This window comes from Homo sapiens, chromosome X, assembly GCF_000001405.40.
Source record: "Homo sapiens chromosome X, GRCh38.p14 Primary Assembly".
Classification (NCBI taxonomy): domain Eukaryota; kingdom Metazoa; phylum Chordata; class Mammalia; order Primates; family Hominidae; genus Homo; species Homo sapiens.
This window is the reverse complement of record NC_000023.11, coordinates 90,140,053-90,152,880: the sequence shown is the minus strand read 5'-3', so window position 1 is coordinate 90,152,880 and position 12,828 is coordinate 90,140,053.

Below are 12,828 nucleotides of genomic sequence, written 5' to 3'. Positions count from 1 at the left end.
TTACATGCCTTGAGTAGTCTTTAGGAAAAATCTGCGTGGTATTCCACAACTTTCTTGTACTGGGATATTCATATATTTTTCTAGGTTTGGAAAGTTCTCTATTATTATCCTTTTGAGTAAGTATTAATTTTAGTCTTCACTATCTGGGCTTATTTGTACCCATTCTTCTGTGGAAGGCTTTCCAGATATTAGAAAAAACTTGAGTGTTGTGATCTAAGCTGAATCTGCCTAAGTCTATATGCCAAGCCCAGTAACACTGTGGTTCTTGCAGACTAGTAGATGTACTACCTTGATGGTCTTGAGCAAGATCCAAAAGAATTCTCTGGTTTACCAGGCAGAAACTGTTGTTCCCTTCTCTTACTTTCTCTCAAATGAACGCAGTCTCTTTCTCCGGTCTGAGACACCTGGAGCTAAGGGTGTTGTGACAAGAGGACCCTGGCGGCCATCACCACTAGAACTGTACTGGGTTAGATCTGAAGCCAGCACAGCACAGAGTCTCACTCAAGGCCTATGGTAATCGCTTCTTGGCTTCAGTCTATGTTTGCTCAAGGCCTTGGGACTCTACAATCAGCAGGCAACAAAGCCAGTCTGGTCTTTGTCCTTCCCTTCAGGGAGGTGAGTTCTCCTCAGTGCCAGGTGGGTCCTTAGGTGCTGTTCAGGAGTCAGAGACTAGAGCCAAAAACCTGTCCTGTGACTTATCCTTCAGCATAGTGGGCTGCCCTCTGGCCCCAGACAACTCCAGAAATGAAGTCTAAGAGTAAAGGCCTGAAATTTGGGACCCCAGGTGTCTGCTTGGTGCTATACCCCACTGTGGCCATGTTGGTACGTTAGGTGCAAGACTTTTTTCTCTGCTTTTCTCAAGTTTACGGAGTCTCATCCCATAGCCATCCCAGCTGGGAATGTGCTGAGTCTCACCTGAAGCCAGCAAGTGTTAGAGTTTCACCCAAAGCCCTTGACATAGTACTTGGGAATTTCCTCTGATTATTCAGGGCCCAAGTGCTCTTTGGTTAACAGATGATAATCCTTCCCAGAACTGGGTCTTTCCCTTCAAGAAAGTAGGTTCCCTTCTGGCCCAGGGTGTGTCTAGAAATACCAGGAAGTAGGATCTGGAAATGTCCAGGAAGTAGGGTCTAAAATGACTGATGCTCTAACCTGCTGTAGTTGAGCTGGTGTCTAAGGTACAAGACAAAATCTTCCCTACTATTCCCACTCTTCTCCTTAAGTGGAGAGAAGGGGTCACTGTTGGAGCCATGAGCTGTGCAGCCTGGGCTTGGGGGAAGGCTGGTACCAGCACTCCCTTAGCTGCTCCTGCTGGTGTATCAGTAGATTTAGCCCACCTAACCCAGCCCACTGTCTCTGGGCCCAGTTCAGCACTCGGACTTGTAGTCCTTGTGGCAGTCTCTATTCAAGTATATTTATGATCCCAGAGCACTTTAGCCCACAATGGCAAGGCTCGTGGAAACTCAAGTTTGGTCCACTGGGATTGGTGATTCCCCTCTTACTAAAACTGATTTAAATGCTCCCTTCCTGGGCGGGTGGCAGCTGAATTGGTATGGTTTTGTTTTCTGCTATAACAGGTCAGCACTAAGTCAGTCCTCTCTCTGCTGTGCACAGAAACACTCCGCACCATGCAGCCACTGCTGATGTATGGGGGAGGGGTGGCATCAGCAATCCAAGGCTGTTTTTTCTACATCTTCAGTGCTTCTTTCAGTGATATGAAATAAAAAGCAGGTACTGTGAGTGCTCACCTGATTTTGGGTTATTATGAAGGTGCTTCTCTTGTGTAGATAGTTGTTAAATTGGTTTCCTTGCCAGGAGGATGATCAACGAAGCCTTCTCTTTTGTAATCCTGAGCCACCTCTCTCCCTCCTTCATGTTTCTTGACCTGTAAAAGTTATGTCATCTGAAAACAGGGCAATTTAACTTTTTCTGTTTTAATTTGGAAACCTTTTATTTCTATTTCTCATATAATTTTTCTGGCTAGGACTTTTAGTTCTATGTTCAATTGAATTGGAGAGCATAGACATCCTTGCGTTGTTCCTGATTTAGAGAAAATGCTTTCAGCTTTTTATGATTGAATGTAATTCCAAAAGCACAGACAACAAAAGCAAACATAAACAAATGGTATTACATCAAACTAAAAAATTTTGCACAGTAAAGGAAACATTCAACAAAATGAAAGGTCAAGCAACTAAATGGGAGAAAGTATTTTCAAATCATATATCTGACAAGGGATTGATATTCAAAATATAAGAGAAACATCTATAATTAAATAGCAAAAAAAATCAGCTGATTAAAAAATAGGCAAAGAATCTGAGTAGACAGTGAGCTAAAGAAAACATACAAATGGCCAACAGGTCATTGTATATTGTATGGATATGAAAAGGTGCTCAATCAAGCAGCATCATTAATCGCTAGAAAAATCAAAATTACAATGGAATATAACCTCACATCTAGTATCAAACAGTCAAATAGTGACAAGTGTTGGCAGGGATGTAGAGAAAAGTGAGAACTTGTATTCTGATGGGATTGTAAACTGGTACAGTTATTTTGGAAAACAGTATAGAGGATCCTCAAAAACTTAAAATAAATATATATTTAAGGAAATTGCAATCTGTATGTGAAAAAGGTATCTGCACTCCTATGTTTATTGTAGCATTGTTTACAATAGTTAAAATAGGGAAACAACCTAAGTGTTTGGTAATGGATGAATGGATAAAGAAAATGATATATATATATATATATATATATATACAATGAAATATTATATACATACATATGTATATATATGTATACATATACATGAAATATATATATGAAATACATATATACATGTATAAATAAATACATGTATACATATACATGAAATATATATATACAATGAAATATACAATGAAATATTATTCAGCCTTATAGAAGAAAAAACCTTGTCATTTGCCAAACCATGGATGAAACTAGAGGATGTTATGTTAAATGAGATAACTCAAACACAAAAAGACAAACACTGCATGATCTCACTTTTATATGGAATTTGAAATTGAACTCATAGAAACATGGCAGAAAGGTGGTTGCCAGGGGCTGAGGAGTGAGAAAAATGAGAACATTTTGGTCAAAATGTTTGAAATCTTAAGTTGAGTAATTCTGAAGATCTAATACACAACATAGAAACTACAGTTAACGAAAATATATTGTATATTTGAAATTAATTAAAAAGTAGATGTTCAGTGTTCTCACCGCAAAAAATGCTAACTACATAATATGATGTATATGTTAATTTTGGTAATCACTTTGTATTGTATGCATATATCAAAGGATTACATTTTACATTTTAAATATATGTAATTTGTATTTGTCAGTTACATGTCAAGAAAGTTGGGAAAAAGATTTTTAAAATGTTAAGTGTTGGTGGCTGGGTGCAGTGGCTCATGCCTGTAATCCCAGCACTTTGGGAGGACGAGGCAGGTGGATCACCTGAGGTCAGGAGTTCGAGGTCAGCCTGGCCAGCCCCATCTCTACTAAAAATAAAAAAGAAATAGTTGGGCGTGGTGGCACATGCCTGTAATCCCAGCTACTTGGGAGACTGAGGCCGGAGAATCCTTGAACCCAGGAGGCGGAGGTTGCAGTGAGCCGAGATCACACCACTGCCTGGGTGACAGAGCGAGACTCCGTCTCAAAAAAAAAAAAAAAAAAAGTATTGGTGAGAATGTGGAAAAAAGAAAGCTTTTGTAAATTGTTTGCAGAGATTTAATTGGTACAGACATTATGGAAAACAGTATAGGGCTCCCTCATAAAATTAAAATTAAAACTACTATGTGATACAGCAATTCCACTACTGAGTATATATCCAAAATAATTTAAATTAGAATCTTGAATAGATATTTGCATTCCCATGTTTATTACATCATTATTTACAATAGCTAAGTTATGAAAACAACATAAATGTCAATTGGTGGATGAATGCATATAGAAAATGTGGTATATACATTCAATGGAATTATCACTCAGCCTGAAAAAAATATTGCAATATGTAGCAATGAAGATGAACCTTGAAAACATGCTAAGTGAAATGGGCCAGATGCAAAAAGGCAAATAGTGCATGATCTCAGATGTGGAATCGAAATAGTCAAGATCATAAAAGCAGAGTAGAATGGTGATTGCCAGGTGCTGGAGGAAGGAGGAGATGGGGAAATGTTTGCTAAAGGGTACAAAATTTCAGTTATGTAAGATAAATCTTTTCGAGAGATCTATGGTTTAGTACCTATAGTTAATAATACTGTATTATACTTAAAATTTACGCTAAATGTTATTACTCTGAAATAAATAACAAAGGGTGCAGGAGAAAGCTTTCAGAGGTTGTTCTGGCTACGATTTTTAGTACTAGGAGTAATGCCAAATATGTCTATGGCCTTGATAGTGGTAATGACTTCATGGGGTTATACATATCCTCCACTTCATTGAATTATATCCATTAAGTATGTATGGCTGTTTACATATCAATCATACCTAAATAAAGTAGTTTAAAATTTGAGGAGTTTTAAATTTCAAGTTAATTAAAAATATACTAAGATTGGTGATGTATTATCTACCTCTTAAAAAAAATTACATTTCATACAATTTAAAATCACAGAGACAAAGCTCTTCTGGCATTTCATAAGAAAAAGCAGCTTAAATTATGAAAAGTAGTTCCATTATCGCACCCTTCTAGTTGATAAAAACATTTTGTTTTTTGCTATAGGAGAAAATCTCAGCTCTTATACTACCCGTAATTAAAACATTTTTGAAAATGAATCTGAAAATTTTCCTTATGTTTAAACACTTTTAAATATCAGTTGTCAAATTGTCAGAGAAGCAGAGTCTTCCCAGCTTCTATTAATACATACATCTTCTGGTTTTGGCATGAATATTGCAGTGAGTTTTCTGAATGTTCTGTAACTGGGAATGGTCTAAATCAAGCTTGCCCAATCTGCCACCTGCGGGCCGCATGCAGACCAGGACGGCTTTGAAAGCAGCCCAACACAAACTAGTAAACTTTCTTAAAAGATTATGAAATTCTTTTGTAATTTTAAAAAACTCATCAGCTATTGTTAATATTTGTGTATTTTATGTGTGGCCGAAGACAATTATTCTTCTTCCAATGTCATTCAGGGAAGGCACAAGATTGAACACCCCTGACATTTTCCTTGAACACTAAACTATTATGTGGACTGTTATACAGAGAAGAGAAACGCTTTCAGCTTTGACAGTGTAAGTTTCCAAGTCTAAATGTTGTCTTGAAGATAGGTGAATTTAAATCAGAAGAAGTCTTTTACTAGTAATGAAAATAAAATGGAATCGTTTATTGGATCTTTTGCATTTCATAGCATTTTCGATGCATTTCAGTTGCTCATTATTTTAATGACTCCTACCTCATTAATATTTAGCCTGAAATTTTGAGAAATGCATGTTTTTCCTTTTTAAAAACATAATACATATTTTGGCTCCAAATTTGAATTGATTGTATATTGTGCTGTTAATCTGCATATTAAAGCATCATTAATATAATAGTACAAAGAAATTTTTATATGGTACTATTCTTAACTATCGAGATGCACAGAAAGACTGATTCTATAAACAGCTCGAATTACTCATTATGATCGCAAGGGAAATGTTACAACAATCTTATTAACATTGATCACATTCAAAGGTGCTTGAAAGAATACAATATTAACACGTGCCAACTTTTTTTCCTTTAATTTTTAAAATTTTTTGTGGGTACATAGTAGGTACATATATTTATGGGGTACAGGAGATGTTTTGATACAGGCATGCAATGTGAAATAATCACATCATTGAGAATGGGATATCCAACTCCTCAAGCATGTATTCTTTGAGCTACAAACAATGCAATTATAATCTTATTTAAAATGTACAATTGGCCCGGCACTGTGGCTCATGCCTGTAATGCCAGAACTTTGGGAGGCCAAGGCCTGCAGATCACCTGAGGTCAGGAGTTCAAGACTAGCTTGGCCATCATGGCAAAACCCCATCTCTACTAAAGATACAAAAATTAGCTGGGCATTGTGGTGGGTGCCTGTAATCCCAGCTACTCGGGAGGCTGAGGCAGGGAGAATGGCTTGAACCCAGGAGGCGGAGGTTGCAGTGAGCCGAGATTGCACCACTGCACTCCAGCCTGGGCAACAGACCAAGACTCTGTCTCAAAAGAAAAAAATAAAATAAAAAGAAATAAAAATAAAATGTACAATTAAGCTATTATTCACTATAGTCACCCTATTGTGCTATCAAATAGTAGGTCTTATTCTATTTTTTAATGAAACTATTGTTAAGGTAATCAGAGTGATTTTTTAAAAATCATGAAAAGAATAATCATAGTCTATTGTACATTTATTTACAGAATAGTTCCATTTATATTTGAGGTATCAAAAGTAGTTGACAATGTATGACAAAATAATTATAGGTACAAATTTATAAAAGCTGACTGACTAAAGGAGAAAATAATTTTGCTTGCTGATGACATTGTAACTGGTTTATTATCATTAAAACACTTTTAGTATGAATAATAAATCTATTGAATTTTGGCATTAGTTATTACCTTTAGAAGGTCACATGCTGTTCCATTTCACATTTTAAAAACTCCATGTACAAACATACAAACTTACAAAGCTTTTAAGCAGGTCAATTTTTGTGGATTCTTCCTTCCACGAAAAAAATGCATTTTATTTTAGCTAAAATCACTCCTTTCTGTACCACCCCAAGCATTGAATATATCTTTAGAATTTTGCCATAAAATATTTCTGAACTATTTCTGCAGTGTAGCATAAATTGTACCTCTACCCAGGAAATGATTTGACTACTACAAACTGGAGGCATTATGGAAGTTAAACCATTTAGCCTGCTAAAAATGACTGCAGATATAGCACATTTGATGTAGATAAAGAAGAGCATGCTTAAGTTTGAAACTGCATATTACCATTTGCAAGCACTGTGAAATTGTGCAAATGAATTTACCTTTCTCTCAGCTTCAATTGAATCACATATAAAATATTCTCCCTAACTTAGAAGATGATTAATAGTTTTAGAGGTGGTAATATTTATCAAAGTGCCTAGTGCAGTTGTTGGTGAATAGTAAGAATTCAGCCACTTTAAAAATCTAAATGTAAGTAAGTTATAAAGTTCAATATACCACTTAATAATACCAAATCCATGAATTTTGGTTACATAGTAGGACAGTTTCAAAAATGCTAAGATGAAGTAATTTCTTATTAAATATTAGGCAATTAAGTTTCATAAAAAACATATTACAACATATGGTACAGCTATGTCATAATTTGTGACCCGTATGATCTATTATTTTGTGTTTTCATTATCACTGACTAATTTAAATCTATAAATTCAAGATGTTTTGGAACTCTAGATCAAATGTAAAGTACCTTTAAATTCTCTTTCAGATAGGATGAACTAGTTATCATATAAGATATAGAATTTGAGGAGGTTTTTTTAATAAACTACTCAATAGATCAGTTGAAGTTTTACAATTGAAAATGTGTGAATTCATGGAAGAGTCACTGATCATTTTGGGATATTTATAAACATTTACGTTCTACATTATAGACAAAAATAAGTGATTTGACTATTAATATTTCTGGAAAAACTCCTCAAGTCATAAGTTATCTGAAGGCAGGAATCATATCTTATTTATATTTGCATCTTCAGCACATAGCACAGTTCCTGTCACAAAGTAGGACTCATTAAGTGCCTACTGATTGACTGAAAAAATAAAACATCTCACCATTAATTCCTCAAAAAGGTAATGCTAACCTAGTTTTCCCAGACACTGATATTAGAAACAAAACTTTACTAGAGTTTTGATGAATTTGTCAGAAGAATGACCGCAGAGAGATAGTGCGGATGTTTTGTGTGTGTGTGTGTGTGTGTGTGTGTGTGTGTGTGTGTAATAAAAAGAGGGCTGGAAAATGAAAGGAAAGTTGTATAGACAGAATTGTATATTAGGAGACAATACAGAAGAGATTATCTACTTTTGTGTGTATGTTGAGAGACTAATTTTGAACTGTTAAACACAGCATCCTTTTTTTGTTTTTGTGAACTTGCATACAGAAGTATGTGTAGTATCCTTAATGTGTTAGCCAGTAGGATAAAAATTCGCTTCGCCTAAATAGCATTGCATGAGTTGGGGGTACTGAAAAAAGTATAAGTTTAATGAATTGAATCCAGTTAGGAGCATACAAATTTAATTATATTCCAGATCCATAAGAGTTTCCTCAGAGGAATTGTGTCATATTTTAATAGAGATTTCAAAGGTAACAATTTCAGTTTGAAAGTGTGCATAATAAAATTTTGGGAATTATGAAACAATTTTATAAATTTTTCTTGACAACAGTGATGAGAATGGGGAAAACATTTCAGCCATACATAAAATTTTAGAGTGTGATTAAGCACCTTCCACCTTATCCCACAAATTAAATGATTTCAGTGTTTACAAAAAAAAGAATATGTAATTTCAATAACTGGAATTTTCCCTTTTCTCCCCACTAGGCTATGCTGTTCATTTCCTCAGTAGGTCTCTTTTATGCTAACCTTTTTTATTTGATGTGACTGTGGTTAGAATATTTAACATTAGATCCAGCGTCTTAGCAATTTTTGAAGTGTATAATGCATTAGTATCAACTCTAGGTACAATCTTGTATACCAGATCTCTAGAGCTTATAAATCTTGCTTAACTAACACTTTTTGCCTGTTCATAATTACGTACCTTCCCATTTCCCCCTTCCCCCAGTCCTTGGCAACATTTCACTCTTTGCTTTGAATATTTTAGAAACCTCATACAAATTGAATCATTCCATATTTTTATTTCTGTGACTGGCTTATTAAACTTAGCTTATTATCCTCAAGGTATATCCATGTTTTTGCACACTGCAGTATTTTCTTTTTTAAAAAAGGCTGATTTGTATTGAATTGTGTATGCACCATATCTCTCTATCCATTCTATTTGATATCCTTTTGGAATCAATATTAGATTTTTGTGTCATTAATATCACCTTTGCCAACATGATAGACTTAAAAATGCCTGAATATATTCTCCATGAACGTATCAAACTATCTTGAAAAAGAATCAGCATAAGAAACAAAGATATCATGAATGAAGCTCCTTGAAGGGGCTGACAGTACAGCAAGGGGTTTAGGAACAAGAACTTTGCAATCTAACTGCTTGGGCTTAAATTCCAGCTGTGTTACAAACTAACTCTGTTACCTAGACAGGAAAACTGTCTCAATTTCTTCATCTATAAAATCAGAGATAATAATAGGACCTAACTCCTAGTGTTGCTGTGAGGAATAAATGAATAAACTACCTGAAATTTTACAGACACTGGATGCGTAAGTTATGATGATAATTTTTATTCCTGATAAGGTCTATACTAATGGCCTAAATTCTTATAAACTTGTATCTGCTAACTATTACCGCACAAAACTTATGAATGAATTAAATACTGCTTTTTAGTTATGTTTTTAGGAAAAAAGACATTATTATTTTGGATATTTGAAGTTCAAACTTATAGAACTCTGCTCTCTTTGAGATTCTCTCAAATTTAAAGAAATTCTTCTGCATTAATTTGATAAGTAGAAGTTACTCTACCATTTTAGAAAGGAGTGACTCCTATGTTCATATGTCTACCCCTCAAAAATCATCAGTCTCATTAATCAGGGCCTTTAATCAAACAACATATCAATCTGCTTGGAAGCTTTCTTTCTTCTACCATTTGGAAAAGTTATTCCACTAAATTCTTCTCCTACACATTCAAGACTTATCATACTCTCAAAAATTATAGCTACAAACAAGGAGTCCTAAGAGAACATGACTCATTTACAACCTTTTTCAAAAAGTGAAGAGGAGGAATTGAGTCCCCACTTCCTTACAAGTAATTAGGGAAATGTAATCCAAAGTAAAAAATTTGGCAATACCGGTTGTGGGCAAGGATATGGGGGAGGCAGAGACTTTTATATTCTTTTAATAGGACTATAAATGTGTTGCATCCATTTTGGATTATAACTTGGCATTAGCATTTCTGATTGTATATTATAAAAATAATTATTTATTAATGTATAAAGAGAGATGAATAGGAATCTTCACTGTAGCATCATTTGTAATAGCAAAAATTGGGAAATATTCTAAGTTAACATCAACATGAATGAAAAATGTAAGTACATTTATAAAATATGGTAAAATCAAGATGTAAACATAAATCTGTATGTATCAGTGTGGATAGCCTAAAAACATTAAAAAGAATTGCTTGATAATTTATATAAGATGTACAATCCACAAAAAAATAGTCCATATTAACTTCTGGTTTTAGTCAATTTCTAGAGGTTAAATACAAAGGGCTATTTTTGATTTGGTTCTGTTCAATCTTACAGAAATTCATGTGGGTCATACGCGTATATGATTAAAGTATAAAAAGGTCGATGTAAAAAATTTATACCAATTGTGTGGTGATGGTTTTCTCTGGTAGTATAAGAAGGATGGGAGTGGCTTGAAGAAAGATAATTAAGTGACTTCAACTGCATTGTTAATTTTTTATTCCCTTAAATCAATTCATGATGCTAATATTTTCATGTGTCACTTTTATTTGGTGAGTTATGGGTTTTGCTATTACTTCCTTTAATTATCTATGAGATAATTTTCTTTAATAGAAAATCAATTTAAAATAGAGCAAAGTAAGGAAAGAATATAATGCAAAACACATAATGTACAGCTGATATATTAAGACCTTAAAACTGGCCAAGACTCTGATCTTTAAATCTCTAAAATAATCATAATGTCTATTGACTTGCTAATGCATTTCTGATTTCCTTTATAAGCTGCTCAGTATCACCAAATAAATAGATCTAATTAACCTCAGTTATCTTCAAAGTGTCACTTGCTCAAATTTTATTTAATGAAACTTGCTTTTCTATTTTATGCCTTCAGGGAAAAAATTGGTGGCTACTAATGTTATTGTGGTTTACTAAGTTCAGATATCACTACTTAAAGCCTATTCATGTTTCTTCCTAGCAGCTTTTAAGATATGACACCATCATTATACAGCATATAAGGAAAGATTAGAGAGAAGGTCTAGCATGGCTGGGGTTATTAAGAAGCTTCAGCAAAATAATGAGGGGGGTGGGTCAGAAGGAAGAGAAATAAAATAGCATACATAAGGATCAAATTAATATGCTTAGCTTCTTATGTTCAGGTTTATGATGAATGGGAATGACAGTTGTAACCCTGGACACTTAAGGGAATCCACCTGACAGTAATGGAAAGAGGAAATTACAGATGATGGGAAAGAGATGAGAAGCTGGTACCAACCAGCTTGTCAGGGTACTTGGCACCTATACTCAAGTTGATGGTGGGGGTACCAAGGAGATTCTGCCTGTCCGAGAAAATCATGTAGAAGGAGGCCAACTAGTTTACCTGGCATTTTTATGGAATATGTAGAGGGATACTCAATATCATCAGAGAAGTGCTTATCATCAACATCCTCATCGACCTATGGAAAGATAACATCATCACCATTGATATTTAGAAGAAGGGCTATTGATTCTCAAAACTTCTTTTGTCATTGGTTTTAGGAAATGAAGGTAGCAACATACAAATAACTGGAGAGTCATTAAGAATAGGATTGATGAGGAAAATGGCATTTACACATACTAGTATTTATAAATACTAAAATTAGAATAATAATTAAATTACCTATGAAATGGATTTTCAAGTTTACTAAATTATAGTTGTCTGCATACATGTTCTTATATACATATTAAATATATATATATAATTACACACATAGAGTCAAATAATATATAGATTACCATTGTGAGATTCTGATATTAGATATAAATCTCTCCTCATTTGATATTAGTGAACATTTTAGGTTGTTTTGATTAGTGACTGTCCTCTATTCTATGCTATCTTGTTCAGTAAACTTTGTGTTCCTTCACATTTGCTTCTGTATAACTATTTTTATCTATTTTTCATACTGGTCCACATAGTTACAGGTTCTTTCATAAGCTCTGATATAAAAATTGTAAGAGTGTTTATTATCTAGGTATGCAGCAATATATTTTATCAATTGTATTCATATTTCTATAGATACTTATTTTCTTATTTGCTTTTGTATAAATTTGTGCAGTCCCAGATTCTGCTTCTTTACTTTTCTATGAATAACTGTTGCTATTATATAAAAAAATTCAACCTTTCTGGGCTTCTGTGGGGAGATATGTTCTCTAAATATCTTCTGAAATGTAGCACAAGTGGAACGGCCTTCAATTTAAAATAGTTTTGACACTTGTTACAAACCCTGTAAGGTTAAAAAAATATATTGGTACATAAAGTGTGATACTTTGTGTATATATTGTTTTGGTAAAGCCAACATTAAGAAAGCACAATTCAGAGTGCTCAGCTAATATATTAACCAAGTATGTCCAGTTGAGCAATGCTCCACAAACATTACATGAAAAAGAAACATACACTGGAAATGACTATAAGCATGCCTTCTGATATTGATGTCTCCATACATCTCAATCAGTAATGATGCTTTGCTCATTAGCATGATGGATGTCAAATATAAATTTTTTGATGTACAATAATAAATGGTAATATGTGATAGTAGCATAATAAATGTTATCTTATTTGTGAAATTAAAGTTATTCATGATAAGATGTTCAGCTAAAATATTTTAAGACATGCCTTACTTTTGCATGGAACAAGACATAAAAATCCCTAAGTATTACATCCTTAGGAATGACACTGTAGCCTAAGTTGCTATTTCTATGGCC